The sequence below is a fragment of the Homo sapiens genome, chromosome 12 (genome assembly GCF_000001405.40).
Source record: "Homo sapiens chromosome 12, GRCh38.p14 Primary Assembly".
NCBI lineage: Eukaryota > Metazoa > Chordata > Mammalia > Primates > Hominidae > Homo > Homo sapiens.
In genome coordinates, this window is record NC_000012.12 from 963,340 (window position 1) to 986,508 (window position 23,169).

Sequence of the window (23,169 nt, forward strand, 5' to 3'; positions counted from 1 at the left end):
AAAGGTACTGATCTAGGAACTGAGAATAGAGCAAGAAACAAAACAAGTTCCCGGCTTGGAGCTTATATTCCAGGAGACAGAGACATGATAGACATGATAAGCAAGTAAACAAATTTAGAGTGTGGCTGGTAGAAGTAAATGCTATAAAGAAAAATGCAGGATATCAAATTAATGATTTTTAATTATCCCATCCATAAATATGGTATAGCTTTCCACTGATTCCTTTCAATAAGGATTTATAATTTTCTTTATGAATACTTTACATGTCTTTATATTTTCTATCAGGAATTTAAAAATTTTTGTTGATACTATAAATAGAATTTTTATAAAATTATATATTCTAACTGTTGGCTTCTGGCATAGAGGAAGGCAACTCATTTTTATGTATGGATTATGTACCAAATAATTGTCTGAAACTTTGGGGGTTCTATTTATCATTAAATACTCTTGGATGTTCTACGTAAGCAATAAAATTATCGGCAAGTAAAAAAAAAAAGAAAGAAAAGAAAAATGCAGCAGAACTAGAGTGACGAGGGCAGCGGTACTCTTTCAAATGGAGCGATTGCTTAGGGAAGGCCTCTCTGATCAGGTGACATTTGCAAATAACTGAATGAAATGAGTGAGAAGGGCACAGTGCAAGGGGGGAAGAGTGTTCCAGACAGAGGGAACAGCATGGAGCACGTCTGGAGTGTCGGAGGTACAACATGAGTAGGAAATGGCTTGAGTCAAAGGCACCAGGAGGCAAGCACAGGTGAGATCAGGAAGGTTTGGGGTTCAGACAAGGCATTTAGGCGATGTGACTTTGGTTTTACTCTGAGAAGGAAGGCCACTGAGGGGTTTTGAGCAGAAGAGTGATGTTTATCTATGTAAGTTTTAAGAGGATTTTGCTGGCTGCTATGTTGAAAAGAAAGGTGGGGGGAAAGATGTTAAACAAGAAGACTAATTATGCTGGGGGTGGTGGCTTATGCCTGTAATCTCAGCACTTTGGGAGGCCGAGTCAGGCAGATCACCTGAGGTCAGGAGTTTGAGACCAGCCAGGCCAATGTGGCGAAACCCTGTCCCTACTAAAAATACAAAAATTAGCCAGGTGTGGTGGTGTGTGCCTGTAATCCCAGCTACTCAGGAGGCTGAGGTAGGAGAATCACTTGAACCCAGGAAGTGGAGGTGGCGGTGATCTGAGATCGTGCCACTGCGCTCCATCTCAAAACAACAACAACACAAAAAAAACAATCAGATTCCTACTGCAAAACCTGGATGACAGACAATAGCGGCTCTGCTGCCCAGGCTGGAGTGCAGTGGCACAGTCACAGCTCACTGCAGCTTCAACCTTCTGAACTCAAGAGATCCTCTCACCTCAGCTTCCCAAAAAGCTGGAACCACAGGCGCATGCACTACGCCCAGCTAATTTTTTTATGTTTATAGAAATGATGTCTCCTTATGTTGCCCAGGCTGGTCTCAAATTCCTGGGCTCAAGTGTTCCTCCTGCCTGGGACTCCCAACGTGCTGGGGCTACAGATGTGGCCTACCTCCCCAGCCTCTATGTGCTCTAAGTTTTCAATATTCAATATTTTGGATACACTTCTTCAGAAAATGTATTATACTCATCTTTGCCTGCCCGCCTGCCTGCCTTCCTTCCTTCCTTTTTGATGTTTTGTTTTTAGACGGAGTCTCACTCTCTTGCCTAGGCTGGAGTGCAATGGCGCCATCTTGGCTCACTGCAACCTCTGCCTCCTGGGTTCAAGCGATTCTCCTGCCTCAGCCTCCCAAGTAGCTAGGAGTACAGGTGCGCACCACCACGCCCGGCTAATTTTTGTATTTTTAGTAGAGATGGGGTTTCTCCATGTTGGCCAGGTTGGTCTTGATCTCCTGACTTGGTGATCCGCCCACCTCGACTCCCAAAGTGCTGGGATTACAGGCGTGAGCCACTGTGCCCGGCCACATCTTTGCTTTCTTTACAGAAGATTGGTACATGTAATTTAATATTTTTCTTGATGTCTCAGAATTTGCATTATTAACAAGTACGACTGCTTTGTATTGTTATGTATTAGAGTTATGCTGTACTCAGAACCTCTTGATGCGTACAGGTTCATCTATTTGCTTCTGATCAAATTCTCCCTGTGGCAGAGGCTAATGTTGCCCGCCAAATCTCATCTGTCCTCCTCCCTGCTAATGCTGCCTACCAAATCTGATCTGTCCTCCTCCCTAGTGAACAGAATCCCCAGTATTAGCTGCCCTGATAAGAGACTGTATTTCCCTACTTTCCTTATATTTACATTTGAACAGGTGACTATGTTCTGGCCAATAAGATGTATTTGGGGTTTTTTTATTTTTGTAGTTGTTGTTTGTTTGCTTGGTTTTTTTTTCAAGACAGAGTCTCACTCTATTGCCTAGGCTGGAGTGCACTGTCTCGATCTCAGAACACTGCAACCTCCGCCTTCCAGGTTCAAGTGATTTTTCATGCCTCAGCCTCCTAAGTAGCTGGGATTACACATATGCACCACCACACCTGGCTAATTTTTGTATTTTTAGTAGAGACAGGGTTTCGCCTGTTGGCCAGGCTGATCTCGAACTGCTGACCTCATGATCCTCCCGCCTTGGCCTCCCAAAGTGCTGGGATTACAGGCATGAACCACTGTGCCTGGCTGTTTGTTTTTTGAGTCAGGATCTCCCTCTGTCACCCAGGCTGGAGTGCAGTGGCACGATCATGGCTCACTGCAGCCTCAACCTCCTGGGCTCAAGCCATCCTCCCAACTCAGCCTCTGGACGGGCATGTGCCACCACAACTGGTTAATTTTTAAAAATTTTTTAGTAGAGTTGAGGTCTTGTTATGTTGTCCAGACTGGTCTTGAACTCCTGGCCTCAAGAGATCCTCCCACTCCAGCCTCCCTAAGTGCTGGGATTACATGCGTGAGCCACCGCGATGGGCCCAATATGTAAATAGGGGTGTTGTATGGAACTTCTGGAAATCACCTTAATATGTTGTGCTCCCCTTTACTTGACTTCCTTATTCCTGGATATAATAATGGAATATTCATGGCCATCTTGGACCCTGAGGTGACCTCGAGACTAGAAACCATGAACTGAGGATGGTCAAGCAGAAAGATGGGAGCCTGGGCTCCTGATAATACAAAAGTCTGCCATGCCACCTCCATTTTTTTATATGAGAAAAGATAACTTGTTTAAGCCGTTACTCCATTCTAATGCTCATGGTTTTCTGTTTGTTTTCGCCTTCTATTGGCTTTTTTTTTTCCATTCCTGACTTACAGTCAGTGCACTTGCTTACATCAACTTTTTCCCTTTTTTCCTAATTTGCTGTCAGTCATTCTTGATTTAATGATTATGGAGCACTTACAATCGGCTAAGTGCTAGAGATGCTATTGTAAGCAAAACAGACACGGATCTGTCCTAGGAGCTCAAATAATATTGAGGAGTTTACTGTCTACTGAGGAAACAGAAGACCAAGTATGTTAGACATTAATAAAAATAAATAGCCTTTAAATAAGGCCGGCGAGGCTCTCCTTTGAACGCGTAGATATTATAACATCTATTTTACTGTTGCGTCACAAGGTAAAAAAAAAAATCTATTTTGGCTACACTTCCTTATTTTTCCCTGTGCTGTAGTTAAATATGATGGCATACAACTGAGTTCTGTGTGGGTGGAATGTGTTCACTTCCTGCTTGGTGCAAATTATAAATGAAGTATCTATTTAATTTTAAAATGTTTTATTGTGAAATATAATACACATAAAGAAATGTGGTCTGGACACAGTGGCTCATGCCTATAATCCCAGCACTTTGGAAGGCCGAGGTGGGCAGATCATTTAAGGTAGGGAGTTCCAGACCAGCCTGGCCAACATGGTGAAACCCCGTTTCTACTGAAAATATAAAAATTAGCTGGGCATGGTGGCGCCTGCCTGTAGTCACAGCTATTTGGGAGGCTGAGGTGGGAGGATCGCTTGAGCCCAGGAGACGGAGGTTGTAGTGAGCTGAGATTGTACCACTGCACTCATCCAGCCTGGGTGACAGAGCAAGACCTTGTCTCAAAAAAAAAAAAAAAGTTCACAAAACATATAAGTACAATTTAACAAATAGGTGTGAAATTACTGCCCACGTAACCATCACCTAGCTCACTAGGTGGCTAGTGGGTACCCCTTCCCAATTCTCAAGAAGCACCATCCTGGATTTTACGGTTATTGTGTTCTTCATTTTCTTTAGCATTTTATCACCTATATGCACATCCCTGCCTATGTCATTTAGTTTTACCTGTTTTTGAACTTTTGTGGGTGTGTGACAGGGTCTCTGTCACCCAGGCCGAAGTTCAGTGGCGCGACCAAAGTTCACTGAAGCCTCGACTTCCCTGGCTCCAACGATCCTCCCTCCTCAACCTCTTGAGTAGCTGTGACTACAGATGCAGGCCACCATGCTCAGCTAATTAAAAAAACTTTTTGTGGCTGGGTGTGGTGGTACACGTCTGTAGTCCCAGCTATTTGAGAGGCTGGGGTGGGAGGATCACCTGAGCCCAGGAGGGGGAGGTTGCAGTGAGCCGAGATCGCACCTCTGCTCTCCAGCCTGGGCTCAAGCTGTCCTCCCACCTCGGCCTCCCAAAGTGCTGGGATTACTGGTGTGAGCCACTGTGTCTGGCCTATTTTTGAGCTTTATATTCATGGAATTATGCCCTATGTACTATTTTATGCCTTTCCCATTTCATTCCATGACATTAAGTTTGTAAGATTCATCCCTATGAGTGTTAGCAGTGAAAATGACAAAGAAACTCCCACAATTCTTTCCTCCATAAAAGCAAGTACAAAACTGACAAAAATTGATAGTATTAAGTTTATCAGAACTCTGGAAATTAACCAAAGGCTTGCTTGCAGCAATCTGGGAGGCATTTATCAAGACAAATGGTTGAATCTTAGTAAAAACAAAGAGGTTTGTGGCATTTTAACTATCCTATTTCCATCCCCCTTTCTCCAGCTCCCTGGCAGCCTTGGAAGCCAACAGTCCACAATCCTGGTGACCCCAGGAACCTGGCAGCCACTAGATAAGGCAGAATGGGGTTAGAGCACCTTCAAAGCTTCATTCTCATGGTACTGTAGTTATTTGTCTGTCTGGTGCTTCCCGGGAAGACCCCACTTGCAAGGCTGCCTTTATTTAACCTAACCAGGATCTTATCCAGGGCTAAAAAAATAAAAACCCTTTTCTCCAGAGGCATTTATTGAAAATATTTCAAGACAATTGTTTGACTTCATTCCTGCCTGAGTAGTGGGTGATATTAGGGCAAACAAAAGGCTAACCTAAAGCTCAAAAGGAAAAGCCAGAGAATGGTACGTCCCTAGGAGCTTTGAAAAGCTTCAACTCATTGTGGGAATCCACAAAGCAGCATATGCATAGGGCTGTGTGCATGCCCAGCAAAGATCTGAGAAGGCCCTGAACCTGCCCTTCCCCATAAGAATGTGAGCTCAATAAGGCAAGGAGCTTGTCTACTATATCCCCAGGATCGTGAACTATGCTTCACACATAGTAGAAATTCAATAAATATTTGTTGAATAAATAAAGAATTGGTGAGTATACACACACACACACAGAGTCAGCTCTCCGTATCCGTGGTTTCTGCATCAATGGATTCAACCAACTGGAGATAAAAAATATTTGGACAAGAAAATGGATGGCTGCATCTGTACTGAACATGTATAGACTGTTTTTTCTTGGCATTATTCCCTAAACAATACAGTATAACAATATACGTAGCATTTACTTTGTATTAGATATTACAATAATCTAGAGGTGATTTAAAGTATACAGGAGGATGTACGTAGTTTATATGCAAATACTATGCCATTTCATATCAGCAACTGTATCTGCAGATTTTGGTTTTGAAAGGGGGTGCTGGAACCAATCCACCACAGATACTGAGGAACAACTACATATATTTGCATCCCAGGAACACCAGTCAAAGAATTATTTAACATTCTCACAATGAGAACTGATTCATACCAAAAGTATAATAGTCAATAATTTTATTTAGATGAGACTTTGGTGGGGCTGCACTAATTGTATTATATTTGTCATATAAATTATATGAAATAGACATTTTACTTATTTTATTATATATATAATCACAATTTATTACATTTGACCATAGTTGTTCTCATTACAAGAATTTTAAGCTGGGCATGGTGGCTCAAGCCTGTAATTCCAACACCTTGGGAGGCTGAGGCAGGAGGATCACTTGAGCCCAGAAGTTTGAGACCAGCCTGGGCAACACAGGGAGCCCCTGTCTCTACAAAAATAAAATTTAAAAATTAGCCGGGCATGCTGTCATGCTCCTGTAGTCCCAGCTACTTGGGAGGCTGAGGTGGGAGGATATCTTGAGCCCAGGAGTTGAGGCTACAGTGAGCTATGATCACACCACTGCACTCCAGCCTGGGTGACAGAGCAAGACCCTGACTCTTAAAAAAAAAAAAAGATTTTAGTATGTGTATACGATATTAAGAGTGAAGTACAAAATCTGGGAAAAGTAAAATGAAGAAACTATGTAAAGAGGTTTATCAGACAGCATTCCATATATACTGGTGATAACTTAATTCAGGAATTCTTGCTTCTGTTCTGTTGACAGACTTTGCGTCAGTGTGAAGTGAGACACATTGTCTTCATATATCCCACTCCATTTCTGGTGATATAATTTAGGGCTGGGCGCGGTGACTCATGCCTATAATCCCAGCACTTTGGGAGGCGGAGGTGGTGGATCACCTGAGGTCAGGAGTTCGAGACCAGCCTGTCCAACATGCGAAACCCTGTCTCTACTAAAAATACAAAAATTAGCCGGGTGTGGTGGCAGGTGCCTGTGATCCCAGCTACCTGGGTGGGGCAGGGGGGTGCTGAGGCAGGAGAATCACCTGAACCCAGGAGGTGAAGGCTGCAGTAAGTTGAGATGGCACTACTGCACTCCAGCCTGGGCAACAGAACAAGACATCATCTCAAAAAAAAAAAAAAAAAAAAAAAGTCATAATTTAGTCCTACTCACATTCCTTTTGGGATTGTTTTATTATCTCATTTTGCTGATTAGGGTGGTTACTGGATATTTATGTAGCACAATCTTAGGCAGTCAAGAAGCTATCCATAGTTTAAAATAAAAAACAAAATACTAATAACCAAAAATAAGGGAACATTTATTTTTACCAAAAGACTTCCTAAGATTCTTTTTTCAGTTTGAAAGTTTGGCCTATTAGGAATGGTGTTTGGCAAAGATAATTAGCTCTTAGGTTAAAATGACAACTGCAAAGAACAGTAAGAAATTAGGACAGTGAAACATTGATTTAGAAAGGCAGTTGGGAGAGGGCATTTGGGAGGAGGTGGTTACAAATGGTTGTTCAGAATGGCATTTGGGAGTAAGTAGGCGGTCCATGAGACAAGGAGGTATCTGAAGAAAGTGAACCAACAACCGAGCTATTTTGGGTAGGGTATCACAGCAAAGGGAATGTTCTATTAATTACTCTTCTCATCAATAACCAAAGCCAGGTACATCCCTTGCTGAGACTTTGAACCAAATACATATATTTTGAACCAAATATATACGTAGAGAGAGAGAGACAGGAAATAAATCGATACTTGATTGTGTTATATAGTAGCTGTTTCTAAGAGTCAAAATGTATGTATATAGAAGTGGATTTATGTGCATATGTCACCATTTTTTTCCATGGAATTTTATCATTGCATATGCAAAGATAAAATATAGATAATCTATATGCAAAATATAGATTTTGAACTCTGAGCAGCAAGCTCCTTTGGTTGGAGAAGAAAAGGAACCTATATGTCTTTACTTCCATTGGGGCCTAATATTTCCCTTGGGGTGACTATGATGCAACCAATATGTACGTTCCTTTAATCAACCTTTTGTTTTGTTTCATATTATTATAGGATACTGAAAACATTGTGGGGAAGGGCATGGTATTTTTTTTTTTAAAGACATAGTCATTGAGCCAGAAAAGACTGCCTTTTCCTCTAGTGTGAGAATTATATAACTAAGATATAAAGATAAGCTAATATATAGGACTTAGAATCGTGAACTGGGGAGGCAGGTATTGCACTTAACGGAGGAAAATAAGCAGCAGTGTGCAGAGCGGGGTTAGTAAGTTCACCTTTGGTTACAGGCAGCCATGGTCAGATCACAGCCAAAAAGGTGAATAAACCTGAGAAAGCCTTTGGTCAAGATTTCCGTTTTTTAAATACTTTAAAAAATTAATTATTTATTCAAAACTACTATTATTGGTTGTAAATAAATATGGAAAGATAATAAATTTTGCTAGTCTTTTCTATAAAATTTGTGAAAAAGTTTAAAAGTACAATGCCTAACAAGAACGTATAACTCGTATGATACTCTCCACATAATTGCTTTGTTTTTGAAAGCTATTTGGAATTTTTTTTTTTTGAGACGGAGTCTCGCTGTCGCCCAGGCTGGAGTGCAGTGGCGCGATCTCGGCTCACTGCAGGCTCCGCCCCCCGGGGTTCACGCCATTCTCCTGCCTCAGCCTCCCGAGTAGCTGGGACTACAGGCACCCGCTGCCTTGGCTGGCTAATTTTTTGTATTTTTAGTAGAGACGGGGTTTCACCGTGTTAGCCAGGATGGTCTCGATCTCCTGACCTCGTGATCCGCCCGCCTCGGCCTCCCAAAGTACCTTTACCTTTTGATTTAATAATCTCATTTTGGGAGTAGGTAGAGGGGAATTAATCACAAAATATGGGAGGAATAAGCACAAATCTTGAGGCAACGCTAACATGCAATATTGCTTGTTTATGTATACATTCAGGAAATGCTCTTCAAGTGCCTATTACGTTCCAAGCACTAGGGGTGAAACAGGTAATACAAGAAAGTCTTCTCTCATGGAACTTACATTTCAGTGGGGGAGACTGAAGATAAGCAAGCATAGTACACACACACATATATATATAAATACACATATAGTATATCAGGTGGAGAAAAATAAAACAGGATATGGGGACAGAAAGTGCATGAGAAAATGGCTGTTTCACATAGGGGCACCAGGGAAGGCTCAGGCATGGTGACATGTGAGACCTGAAGGAAGTAAGGAAGCAAGCCTTGAGGCAACCTGGCAGAAAACTGTGCCCATTAGAAGGGTCGCTCTTAGGCCAGGCGTGGTGGCTCACGCCTGTAATCCCAGCACTTTGGGAGGCCGAGGAGGGCGGATCACGAGGTCAGGAGATCGAGACCATCCTGGCTAACACGGTGAAACCCCGTCTCTACTAAATATACAAAAAATTAGCCGGGCGTGGTGGCGGACGCCTGTAGTCCCAGCTACTCGGTAGGCTGAGGCAGGAGAATGGCGTGAACCCAGGAGGCCGAGGTTGCAGTGAGCTGAGATAGCACCACTGCACTCCAGCCTGGGCGACAGAGCGAGACTCCGTCTCAAAAAAAAAAAAAAAAAAAAAAAGGGCCGCTCTTGAGGTGGGGGCACACCTGGCATGGTTGGGGGAACAGTAGGGAAATTGGGGCAACTGGAGCAGAATGAGCTAGGAGACTAGCAGATGAGGTCAAAGAGTCAATGAGGGGGCAAATTTTGTAGGACATTATAGGCCATCCTAAGAATTTGGATTTTACTCCGAGTGAGACTGGAAGTCATTGGAGAATTTTGTGCAAGAAAGTGACAGAATATAACCTAGCTTTTAAATCATGGGGGGAAAGGGGAAGAAAACACAAAAACCAGTTAGGAAACTTTTCTTTTCTTTTTTTGAGACGGAGTCTCGCTCTGTCGCCCAGGCTGGAGTGCAGTGGCGCGATCTCGGCTCACTGCAAGCTCCCCCTCCCGGGTTGACACCATTCTCCTGCCTCAGCCTCCCAAGTAGCTGGGACTACAGGCGCCCGCCACCACACCCGGCTAAGTTTTTGTATTTTTAGTAGAGACGGGGTTTCATCATGTTAGCCAGGATGGTCTCGATCTCCTGACCTCGTGATCCACCCTCCTGGGCCTCCCAAAGTGCTGGGATTACAGGTGTGAGCCACCACACCTGGCCAGAAATTTTAAATAATACAGGCAAGAAATGTTGGTGGATTGGGTCAGTGTAGTAATGATACAGATGATGAAAGTGGTTGAATTCTGGACATAATCTAAAGGTAGATCTGACAGGATTTTTTTTTTTTTAAACACAGTCTGGCTCTGTTGCGCAGGCTGGAGTGCAGTGGTGTGATCTTGGCTCACTGCAATCTCCAACTCCCTGGCTCAAGAGATCCTCCTGCCCCAGCCTCCCGAGTAGCTGGGACTACAGGCATGTGCCACCATGCCCAGCTAAATTTTGTATTTTTTGTAGAGACAGGGGTCTCACCATATTGTGCAGACTGGTCTCAAACTCCTGGGCTCAAGTGATCTGCCCGCCTCGGCCTCCCAAAATGTTCGGATTACAGGCATGAGCCACCACGCCCAGTCCTTCTTTTTTTTTTTTTTTTTTTTTTAAGAAATGTGCTCTCACTGATGCCCAGGCTGGAGTGCAGTGGTGTGATCATAGCTATCTGTAGCCTCAACTCCTGGGCTCAACTGATCCTCAGCCTCAGCTTCTCGAGTAACCGGGGACCACAGGCACGTACCACCACACCTGGCTTATTTATTTATTTTGTGAGATGGATTCTTGCCATATTGCCCAGGCTGTCAACAGGATTTATTAATAAACTGAATGTGAAGCATGAGAGAGAGGAAATTAAGGAGGACTCTAATATTTGGTCTCAGTAACCGGACAAATAGAGCTGCCACCTACTGAGACGGGGAAGATGTGGGAAGAGCAGGTTTGGGAGTAGAAATCAGAAGTTTATTTTTGAACACATAAGACTTCCAATGCCTGTTAGACAGCAGTAGCAGCAAATTGGTGCCTCAGCCATATTCCTTGCCTGTGCCACATCAGTGTGCTATGGACAGCCTGATCTCCAACTGCCAGCACCTCCATTTCTTGGCCTGAGGACTTTCTCAAATGAAGACAGTCATGAAAAACAAGACAAAAGAACCCATAAAAGGCAGGTTTTTTTCTTCTCTAGTAAGAGGGAGGCTCCTGAAGAGAAACTCTCCGCCCTTCCTTGTTCCCAGCTTTCTGCCTTGAATGCCTTTGAGAATGTGATGATTGGTGGTGTGGCAAACAACAGGGGAGGTCCGAGGGAACTGAAGAGTGGCCAACTCAGACCCCTGGAGCTGTAGAAAGGAACCTGTTTTAGCAGCTGCCTACCTCTGCAGTGCCTGCTCTGTGAGAGAAATGCAGGCTTCTCACTGAGGCCACTGTAAATCAGTATTCTCCTCCTTGCAGCCGAAAGCATTCCTAACTGATTCACTGCTCAATAAGAATAGTAACTAACCTCATCAAATACTTACTACATACTAAGTAAGTGATGACCTGTGATACTCTAAGTGTCTTACATGTATTTTCTCATTTAATACTTATAATAACTTTACAAATGAGTTACTATTATTATCTCCGCATTAGATAAGAAAAGTGAGGCATGGAGAGTTTACATCATAATATGAACCTAGGCAGTCTTCCTCCGCAGTCCTGACCCTAACTACTCTGCTATGCTGCCTTCCAACACCTGTGGTTACAGTAGTCCCCTGCCTTATATGCAGTTTCAGTCACCCACAGACAACCATGGACCAAAGATAGGTGAGTACAGTAACACATTTTGAGAGGGAGAAACCACATTCATGTAGCTCTTATTATAGTATATTGTTACAACTGTTCTATTACATTATTAGTTGTTGTTCATCTCTTACTCCGCCTAATTTAGAAATTAAACATCATAGGTATGTATGTATAGGAAAAACATAATATGTATATAGGGTTTGGTACTATCCATGGTTTCAATCATCCACTGGGAGGGGGGTCCTGGAACTACTGTAGATAGTTCCAAGTGGGGGATAAAGATGAGAGGGGACTACTGTAAAGAACTTAACATAAAACTACAACTGTAAACCTTCATGTGGCAAATTCTTGTTCAACTACACAATACAAACATTTATCAGGTATCAAAAACTTCAAATGCAGAAGGTAAGACAATATTGTATATGGCTAAACAATGACCAAAAACCACTCTCATATTCCTCTCTCCAAATTTGAATTTAAAATGCTTTAAGAGATATTTAAAGCAAGTTTAGTTATTGTCCAATTATGCAAATAAAACAGGTAATAAAGGAGGATCCAAAACTATTCCTTCACCTATACATCCCAAACCAGAAGTAACCAGAAGTGGATGATATCCAGTGGAATTTGGGCATAAGAGAAAGCTACATAGGAAATAATGTTGACCTCATTTCTCCCATTAGCTCCTGATACATCCTCCTGCTCCCATTTATAGCAGAAATTCTCTGAATAATTGCTAGCACTCACAAACTATCTTTCCACTCATTCCATTCTCTCTTGAAACAATCAAAGTTTCAACTCAACCACCCCCAGTAAACTGCTCTTGTCAAGGTCCCCAATTATGTCTACATCACTAAAGCCAATGTCAATTCTTAGTTATCATTATCATCTTATTGGCTTATCAGCAGAATATGATATAGTTCTGAGTCTCTGTTGCTGGTTCTTTCTCTCACTGGTCTCTAAACATTGAAAGTTTCAGTGCTTGGACTTTTAATCCACATTCATACCTCTGGCGTTCTCATCCTGGCTCACAGCTTTGCAATGTTGTAGTGGATTAAAGACAGCCCCAGGGCTGGGCGCAGTGGCTTACGTCTGTAATCCCAGCACTTTGGGAGGCTGAGGCAGGTGAATCACAAGGTCAGGAGTTCGAGACCAGCCTGGCCCATATGGTGAAACCCCGTCTCCACTAAAAATACAAAAAAATTAGCCGGGTGTGGTGGCGCATGCCTGTAATCCCAGCTACTTGGGAGGCCAAAGCAGGAGAATTGCTTGAATTCGGGAGGCAGAGGTTGCAGTGAGCCGAGATCTTGCCACTGCACTCCAGCCTGGGCGACAGAGCAAGACTCCTTCTCAAAAAAAAAGCCCCAAACTCTTTGACATACTTCCCAGTGAGAAGTGAGGGTCTGTGTTTCCTCTTGGAAGGCTCTGTGACTGCTTTGACCAATGGCAGGAATGAAATTGTACCATTTCTGGGTCTTAAGAAACTAGCAGCTTCTACTTCCTGTCTCTTGGTAGCTCCGAGCAGCCATTTAAGAAGCCATGCTGAAGAGGCCATTTGTAGGTACTATGGTCAGCAGTCCCAGCTGAGCCCAGGCTTCCAGTCATCCCTGCCAAGGTGCCAGATATGAGCGTGAATGAATACTTGGATACTCCAGATGAGTTCGTCTGGTAGCTGAATACCATGGAGTGACCTCAGGTGATGCCATGGGGAACAGAAGAGTTGCCCAGATGAGACAGGCTCTAATTCCCAATCCACAAAATTGTAAGCTACGATAAAATAGAGTTGTTTTCAGCCACTAAATTTTAGGGTAATCTGTCTTCCTGCAGTAGACAAACAGAACAAATGACATCTTTTTGATGATGACTTGCAAATTGCATGAGCCTCTCCTCTGAATTCCAGATTCATATCTAACTGCATTATCTGACATGTCTACTCGCAGATTGTCTTATCTGGGGTTCTTCCAGTAGTCAACTCTGAGACAAGGGTTCAAGTACAAGCAGTTTATTTGGGAGGCGATCCCAGGAAACATTGTTAGCCGTGGCGAGTCTGAGTTGGCTCCACAGTCCTCGATCCTTGTCTTCTTGGGAGAATGAATTTGGCTGAGACAGAAGTAGATTTAAGGCAGAAACAAGAATTCACTGAAGCAAATAAAAGCACACATGTAAGGAACCAAGCAGGCAACTCAAAAATTCAGTACTCTGCCTGATTGCTGGCTCAGGACTCGCAGATTTGCTATTTTCTGACTTTTCCCGTCTCTTCCTCTTGTCCCTCCCCCTTGGCAGGCTGTTGGCTAATTGCTGCATGTGCAATGTCTTGCTAGTATCTGGGAGGGGCACATGTGCCATACTGAAGTTACGTGCATGCTCTCTTAGGGCAATTTTCCCTTATTGGTCTAGTGCCCCCAGAGGAAGGTCACATATGGGTCAAACGCTGCCATTTTGCACCTTACCATGCTTGCCTGGCCATGTCCCCTGAGGAAGGTCAAACTCCACCATTTCAAGTTCTTACCAAGAAGTTGTTGCCCACAAGCCCAAGATGTCTCCTGTTTATTAGGAAAATTTCCCCTCCCCTTTGACCAGCTGCCTGACATTTGCCTGGCAGTCACCTGATAGTTGTCTGACATTCTTTGGGACCCTATCCTGCCCTGCTCCTATCTGCCTATCTACCCACTCTAACAACACCAGTAGGTAACGGGGAAGTGAGACAGGGAAAGAAAGCAGACAATAGCGTGTGTTATCAAGCCAGTCACCACTGAACACTGCTTTGGGAATGTTGGGGAGCTCAGGGAACTAGTGTAACCATATATTTCAGAGTTATCTCACTCAGAGGGTGAGGGAGCTGGAATATTTATACACTGACTTTTATCAGTCACTAATTGAGGGTTGCCCCCTGGGAGGGTATTAATTCTCTGCCTTAGACATGGGTTTAAGCCCTTGAGCAAAGAAATGCAAAACCTATGAGTGGGACATCAGCTGTGAATGGGACATTGAAATGATCAAGTTGAGTGAATATGGGCAGAACACTGACAACATTTGCTACAATGACAGTGACATTGACACTGATTGATATTTTTAATGATTCCAGGCCAGTTGTCTTATAGAATGTCCCACAGACTGGCTACTGAGATACAGTTTTCCATGGTCTCATGTTTCTTCAATCCCTTTGAGTAGAGGCACCAACTGTCCTTTCGTTCTGGACTATCTTTCCAAAGACATTTAGATAATGCCACCATGCCCGGCTAATTTTTCTTTTTTTTTTGTATTTTTAGTAGACACAGGGTTTCACCATGTTGGTCAGGCTGGTCTCGAACTCCTGACCTCGTGATCTGCCCGCCTTGGCCTCCCACAGTGCTGGGATTACAGGCGTGAGCCACCACGCCCGGCCGTTTGTAGTTCTTAAACTACATACAATTAAGGATGTGCAGTCAGAATACTATGTTCAAATGTAACTTGAATTAAAATTTTTTCAGTGTGGCTATAGTGTCAATTTTATATAACTAGGTTCATTTGCTTCATCATTTTTGAATTAAGTTCTTAAAAATATATAAACTGGCCGGGTGAGGTGGCTCAGGCCCGTAATCCTAGCATTTTGGGAGTCCAAGGTGGACAGATTGCCTGAGCTCAGGAGTTTGAGACCAGTCTGGGCAACACAGTGAAACCCCGTCTCCACTAAAATACAAAAGAAATTAGCTGGGCATGGCGGCGTGCACCTGTAGTCCCAGCTACTCGGGAGGCTGAGGCAGGAGAATTACTGGAACCCAGGAGGCGGTGGTGCACACCTGTAATCCAAACTACTCGGGAGGCTGAGGCAGGAGAATTGCTTGAACCCAGGAGGCAGAGGTTGCAGTGAGCTGAGATTGCACCACTGCACTCCAGCCTGGGTGACAGAGACTCCGTCTCTTAAAAAAAAAGTAGATGATAGGTAGATAGATAGATAGATAGATAGATAGACAGACAGACAGATAGATATAGATATAAGCCATGTATATGATTCAAAATGTAAAACTTTAAAAAAAAAGGTGTGCTCAGGGAAATCTCATTACCATTCCCATCAATTCCACCCACCCCCACAGGTAATTGTTATGAACTGAAATTGTGCTCACCCCAAATTTATAGATTTTAGCCCTAACCCCCAATGTGCCTGTATTTGGAGAAGGGCCTTTAAAGAGGTAAGTAAGGTTAAATGATGCGGCCAGGCATGGTGGCTCACGCCTGTAATCCTAGCACTGTGGGAGGCCGAGGTGGGTGGACTGTCTGAGCTTAGGAGTTCAAGAACAACCAGGGCAACAAGGCGAAACCCCGTCTCTACTAAACATACAAAGATTTAGCATGGCGTGGTGATACACGCCTCTAATCCCAGCTACTTGGGAGGCTGAGGCATAAGAATCGCTTGAACCTGGGAGGTGGAGGTTGCAGTGAGCCAAAATCATGCCACTGCACTCCAGCCTGGGCAACAGTGAGACTCTGTCTCACGAAAAGAAAAAAAAAAGGTTAATTGAGGACGTAAGAATGGGGCTCTTAACAGATAAGACTAGTGTCCTTGTCAGAAGAGACACCAGACCACATGTGCCGTCTCTCTCTCTCTCTCTGTGCGTGTGTGTGTGTGTGTGCATACACAGAGAATATGCCATGTGAGGACACAGTGAGAAGATGGCTGTCTGCAATCAGGAAGAGAGGCCTCACAATAAACCAAATTTCCAGCACCTTGATCTTGGACTTCTAGCCTCTAAAGCTGTGAGAAAATAAATTTCTGTTATTTAAGCCACCCACTTTGCAGTATTTTATTATGGCAGCTCTTGGCCGGGTGCGGTGGCTCCTGCCTGTAATCCCAGCACTTTGGGAGGCTGAGGCAGGCGGATCACGAGGTCAGCAGATCGAGACCATCCTGGCTAACACGGTGAAACCCCATCTCTACTAAAAATACAAAAAATTAGCCAGGCGTGGTGGCAGGCACCTGTAGTCCCAGCTACTCGGGAGGCCGAGGCAGGAGAATGGCATGAACCTGGGAGGCAGAGCTTGCAATGGGCCGAGATCGTGCCGATGAAACCCCGTCTCTATTAAAAATACGAAAATTTGCTGGGCGTGGTGGTGGGCACCTGTAATCCCATCTACTCGGGAGGCTAAGGCCAGGAAAATTGCTTGAACCTGCGAGGCGGAGGTTGCAGTGAGCTGAGATTGTGCCACTGCACTCCAGCCTGGGCGACAGAGTGAGACTCCATCTTGGCCAGCGGGGGGTGGAAGGGGAGGGAAGAGAGTTATTTATATAGGCTAGAAAAAAAAATATCGGATATGTGATTTGCAAAATGTCTCCTATTGTGTTGTCTTTCCTTTTTTTTTTTTTTTGAGACGAAGTCTCACTCTTGTCCCCCAGGCTGGAGTACAATGGTGCGATCTTGGCCCACTGCAACCTCTGCCTCCCGGGTTCAAGCTATTCTCCTGCCTCAGCCTCCCGAGTAGCTGGGATTACAGGTGCCTGCCACCATGCCCGGCTAATTTTTGTATTTTTAGTAGAGACGAGGTTGCACCATGTTGGCCAGGCTGGTCTCGAACTCCTGACCTCAAGTGATCCGCCTGTCTCAGCCTCCCAAAGTGCTGGGATTACAGGCATGAGCCACTGCACCCAGCCTCTTTCTTTCTTTTTTTTTTTTTTCTGAGACAGAGTCTTGCTCTGTTGCCCAGGCTGGAGTGCAGTGCCACGATCTCAGCTCACTGCAACCGCCGCCTCCTGGGTTCAGGCCTCCTGCCTCAGCCTCTTGAGTAGCTAGGATTACAGGCATGCACCACCATGCCACCGCGCCTGGGTGCCTTTTCACTTTCTTGACAGTGTCTGTATTACTTGGCTAGGGCTGCCATAACAAAATACCACAGACTGGGTATGACCTCACTGGGGATTAGGACTTCAACATGAGTTTTGGGGGAATACAATTCAATCCATAATATTCTGTCCTCTGGACCCCCAAAGTTCATGTCCTTCTCACATATAAAATGCATTTATCCTGATCCCAACAGCCGCAAAAGTCTTACCTCATTTCAGCATCAACTCTAAGTCCAAAGGCTCATTTAAATATCATCTAAATCATAGCCAGGTGTGGTAGCTCACACCTGTAATCTCAGCATTTTGGGAGGCTGAGGTGGGCAGATAGCTTGAGGTCAGCAGTTCAAGACCAGCCTGGGCAACATGGTGAAACCCCCGTCTCTACCAAAAAAAAAAAAAAATTAGCCAGATGTGGGGGCAAGTGGCTGTAGTCCCAGCTACTTGGGAAGCTGAGGTGGGAGGATCACTTGAGCCAGGGAGGCGGAGGTTCTAGTGAGCCAAGATTGTGCCACTGCACTCCAGCCTGGGTGACAGAGTGCAACCCTATCTCAAAACAACAACAACCACAACCACCACCACAACAATAATAAAAACCCAAAATAAATATTATCCAAATCAGGTGTGGGTGATACTTGAGATATGAGTCATTCTGCGGCAAAGTTCCTTTCTGACTGTGAATGTATGAAACCAGGCCAGTTATGTACTTCCTGAGTATAATAGTGGGACAAGCATAGAACAGACATTCCCATTCCAAAGGCAAAAAATGGAAAGAAGACAGGGACATGGGGACATGGGTCCCAAGCAAATTCAAAACCTAGTAAGACTTTAGCCAGGCGTGGTGGTGCGCGCCTGTAATCCCAGCTACTCAGGAGGCTGAGGCAGGATAATCGCTCGAGCCCAGGAGGTGAAGGTTGAAGTGAGCTGAAACTGAGCCACTGCACTCTAGCCTGGGCGACAGAATGAGTGAGACTCTGTCTCAATAAATAAATAAATAAAATAAAATAAAATAAAATAAAATAAAATAAAACCTAGCAAGGCAAATTCTGTTGAACTTTAAGGCTGAAGAATAATTGTCTTTGGCTTGACGCTCTGCCCTCCTGGCCCAGTGGATTAGCAGGCTTGCCTTCTAGGGCCACGGGGGAGGCAGCATCACCACGTTGGCCCTATTGGTCCTGGGTAGCAGCCATGCCTCTGAGGCACTGGATGGCAGCAGCTTGACTTTCTGGAACTGAGGAGACATCTTAGCTCCCCAGACCTGTATCTTCTGGGCCTGCAGTTCGAATGGCAGCCTTGTTGCTAACTGAATCTCCTTTGGGATCAGTCTTCCCTTTTCTTAAAGGGTAACATGTGTTCACAGCCAGATAACTCTGTTGCCTCATCCTTTAGGATCCCAGAATTACGACAGCCTTCTTTCCTTCTGTCCTGTGTCCCCTTTAGTCCAAGATGACAGTGTTTATGCTGGTATAATCTCATCTCTCTTCCTGGCTTGCGCTGAGAAAGCTGAATAAATTTGTAAATTGCACCTATAATCTCTATGAAATACTGAGAATTTTTCAAATCTTCAAGTTTTGTTTTTGCTTAATAATTCCCTCAGTTTATCTTTCTTCCCACATTTTACTAAAGCAACCAAAAGAAGCTAGGCCATACCTTCAACAGTTTGGTTAGAAATCTCCTCAGCTAAATAACCAAATTTATCACTTTGAACCTGCACTTTCCACAAAACACTAGAACACCATTTGGCCAAATTCTTTGTGGAAGAAAGGATGGCCTTTCCCGCACTTTCCGATAATATGTTCCTAATTTCCGTCTGAGACCTCCCCAGAATCACCTTTATTCCTTACTCCTACCAACAATCTCTTCAAGACAATCTAGACTTTTTTTTTTTTTTTTTTTTGGCGGGGGGGACAGGGTCTTGTTCTGTCACATAGGCTGGAGCGCAGTGGTGGGATCACGGCTCATTGCAGCCTCGACCTCCCAGGCTCAAGTGATCTTCCCACCTCAGCCCCACACCCCCGCCCGCCCCTGCCCTGAGTAGCTAGGACTACAGGTGCGCACCACGATGCCTGCTAATTTTTGTTCTGTTTTGAGACAGAGTCTCACTCCGTCAAGCAGGCTGGAGTGCAGTAGCATGATCTTGGCTCACTGCAACCTCCACCTCCCGGGTTCAAGCGATTCTCTTGCCTCAGCCTCCCCAGTAGTTGGGGTTACAGGCGTGTGCCACCAGGCCTGGCTAATTTTTGTATTTTTAGTGAAGACAAGGTTTCACCACGTTGGCCAGGCTGGTCTCGAACTCTTGATCTCAAGTGATCCGCCCGCCTCAGCCTCCCGAAGTGCTGAGATTACAGGTGTGAGCAGCTGCACACGGCTCAATCAGGCTTTTTCCAGCACGCACCTCAAAACTCGTTCACTCTCTACCCATTATCCAGTTCCTGAGTTACTTCCACATTTATAAAGTATTTATTACAGCAGCACTCCACTTCTTGGCATAAAAGTCTACATTATTCTGCTAGGGATACCATAATAAAATAATACAGTTTGGGTGGTTTAAGCAACAGAAATTTATTTGCCATAATTTTGGAATCTGGAAGTCCAAGATCAAGGTGTCAGCAGGTTGTTTTTTCCTGAAGATTTTTTTTTTTTTTTTTTTTTTTTTGAGACGGAGCATCCCTTGTTGCCCAGACTGGAGAGCAATGGCGTGATCTCAGCTCACTGCAACCTCTGCCTCCCAGATTCAAGTGATGATTCTCCTGCCCCAGCCTCTCAAGTAGCTAGGATTACAGGTGCCCGCCACCATGCCCAGCTAATTTTTGTATTTTTAGTAGAGACAGGGTTTCTCCATGTTGGCCAGGCTGGTCTCCAACTCCTGACCTCAGGTGGTCCACCTGCCTTGGCCTCCCAAAGTGCTGGGATTACAGGCATGAGCCACCGCACGCGGCCGGCTGCATCTTCTTGGATCTGCACAGGACCTTTTCTCTGATGTTTGTCACTGGTATCTCTTCCTCTTCTTATAAGGACACCAGTCCTACTGGGTTAGATACCATTCTTATGACTTATTTAACCTTCATTATCTCTTCAGGGCCTCATCTCCAAATATAGTCACACTGGGAGTTAGGGCTTCAACATATGAATTTTGGAGGAATATACTTCAGTCTTTAACAGTGTAATGGATGCACATAAGTTTTAAAATATTTATTTATTGTGGTAAAATGTAAGTAACATAACACTTTACTATTTTAACTATTTTTCAGTGTATAGTTCTGTGGCATTAAGTACATTCACAATGATCTGCAGACATCACCCTTATCTTCTCCAGAAATGTTTCTTCTTCCCAAACGGAAACTCTATACCCATTAAACACTCCCTCTTCCCCCTCCCTCTGTCCTCTGGCAGCCACCATTACGCTTTCTGTCTCTATGAATTTTTTTCTTTTTGAGACAGAGTTTCGCCCTTTTGCCCAGGCTGGAGTGAAGTCATGCAATCTCGGCTCACTGCAACCTCCGCCTCCCGGGTTCAAGCGATTTTCCTGCCTCATCCTCCCGAATAGCTGGGATTCTAGGTGCCTGCCACCACACCCAGCTAATTTTTTTGTATTGTTAGTAGAGATGGGATTTCGCCATATTGGCCAGGTTGGTCTCGAACTCCTGACCTCAGGTGATCCACCTGCCTCAGGCTCCCAAAGTGCTAGGATTATATGCATGTGAGCCACCGTGCCTGGCCCTGTCTCTATAAATTTGACTACTTTAGGTACCTCATATGAATGTAATCATATAAGATCTATACTTTTATGATTGGCTTATTTTACTTAGTGTAAGGTCTTTAAGGTTCATCCACAGTGTAGCATATGTCAGAATTTCCTTCCTTTTTAAGGCTGAATAATACAAAAGACTTTTTTTTTTTTTTGAGATGGAGTCTTGCTCTGTCGCCCAGGCTGGAGTGCAGTGGCGTGATCTCGGCTCACTGCAAGCTCCGCCTCCCGGCTTCACGCCATTCTCCTGCCTCAGCCTCCCAAGTAGCTAGGACTACAGGCGCCCGCCACCATGCCCGGCTAATTTTTTGTATTCTTCAGTAGAGATGGAGTTTCACCGTGTTAGCCAGGATGGTCTCAATCTCCTGACCTTGTGATCTGCCCGCCTCAGTCTCCCAAAGTGCTGGGATTATAGGCGTGAGCCACCGCGCCTGTCCACACCAGGCTAATTTTTTGTATTTTTAGTACAGACAGGGTTTCACAGTATTAGCCAGGATGGTCTCGATCTCCTGACCTTGTGATCCGCCTGCCTCGGCCCCCCAAAGTGCTGGGATTACAGGCGTGAGCCACCATGCCTGGCCAATACAAAAGTTTTATATTTTGATGAAGTCCAATTAATTTTATTTTTTTGGAGACAGGATATTGGTCTGTCACCTAGGCTAAAGTACAGTGGCACAATCATGGTTCACCACAGCCTTGATCTCCTGGGTTCGAGGAATCCTTCTGTCTCAGCCTCACAAGTAGCTGGGACTATGGGTGCATGCCAACACACCCAGCTAATCTTTCAAATTTTTTGCAGACATGGGGGTCTCTTTATGTTGCCCAGGCTGGTCTTGAACTCCTTGGCTCAAGTGACCCTCCTGCCTTGGCCCCACCAAAGTGCTGAGATTACAGGCATAAAGCCACTGCACCTGGTCTCAATTTTTTTCTTTTGTTACTTGTCCTTTGGTCTCACAGCTAAGAAACTATTGCCTAATCCAAAGCCATGAAGATTTATACCTATATTTTCTTCTATGAGTATTTTAGCTTAAGCTTTACACTTAGGTCTTTGATTCATTTTGAACTAATTTTCATATATGTGAGGTATGGGTTCAACTTCATTCTTTTGCATGTGATATTCAATTGTTCAAGCACCACTTTTTTTAAAAAACATTTATTTATTTATTTATTTTGAGACGGAGTCTTGCTCATTGCAACCTCCGGCTCCCAGGTTCAAGCGATTCTCCTGCCTCAGCCTCCCGAGTAGTTGGGATTACAGGCGCCCACCACCACGCCCAACTAATTTTTGTAATTTTTGTATTTTAGTATTCCACCATCTTGCGCAGGCTGGTCTCGAACTCCTAACCTGGTGATCCACCCGCCTTGGCCTCCCAAAGTGCTGGATTATAGGTATGAGCTAACGCACCTGGCCTTTTTTTTTTTTTGAGACAGAGTTTCACTCTTGTTGCCCAGGATGGAGTGCAATGGCGCAATCTCAGCTCACTGCAACCTCTGCCTCCCAGGTTCAAGTGATTCTCCTGCCTCAGCCTCCTGAGTAGCTGGAATTACAGGCATGTGCCACCATGTCTGGCTAATTTTGTATTTTTAGTAGAGATGGGGTTTTTCCATGTTGGTCAGGCTGGTCTTGAACTCCCGACCTCAGGTGATCCACCTGCCTCGGCCTCCCAAAGTGCTGGGATTACAGGTGTGAGCCGCCGCACCTGGCCTTGTTTTTAAAATAGAGACAGGGTCTCGTTATGTTGCCCAGGTTGGCTTTGAACTCCTGGGCTGAAGCAATCCTTCTGCCTCAGTTTCCCAAAGTGCTGGGATTACAGGAGTGAACTACCACATCCAGCCTGCTTTTGTTTTTATTTTTGAGACAGGGTCTCACCCTGTTGCCCAGGCTGGAGAGTGGTACCATTATAGTGCACTGCAGCCTTGAACTCCTGGGCTCAAGGGATCCTCCTGCCTTAGCCTCCCAAGTAGCTAAGAACTGCAGGTG

The 23,169-nt window shown here is 44.6% G+C and overlaps 1 protein-coding gene across 3 annotated transcripts in view, besides 2 other annotated features; it reads right to left on the reverse strand.

Moving 5' to 3' along the window:
* The window catches only part of RAD52 (RAD52 DNA repair protein), a 79,387-nt gene that overhangs the window by 51,604 nt on the left and 4,614 nt on the right, over nt 1–23,169 (reverse strand). The gene's annotated exons all lie outside the window — the stretch shown is intronic.
* Nucleotides 10,826–11,373: an enhancer, noted in NCBI's record as "NANOG-H3K4me1 hESC enhancer chr12:1083331-1083878 (GRCh37/hg19 assembly coordinates)". NCBI's record gives its function as "activates a minimal SCP1, AML or CMV promoter by ChIP-STARR-seq in primed H9 embryonic stem cells {active_cell/tissue: H9 hESC(primed)}" and the evidence as "EXISTENCE:reporter gene assay evidence [ECO:0000049][PMID:30033119]".
* Nucleotides 20,113–20,314: a silencer, noted in NCBI's record as "fragment chr12:1092618-1092819 (GRCh37/hg19 assembly coordinates)". NCBI's record gives its function as "represses an EF-1alpha promoter that drives an FKBP-Casp9 reporter gene in an ReSE screen in K562 erythroleukemia cells {active_cell/tissue: K562}" and the evidence as "EXISTENCE:reporter gene assay evidence [ECO:0000049][PMID:32094911]".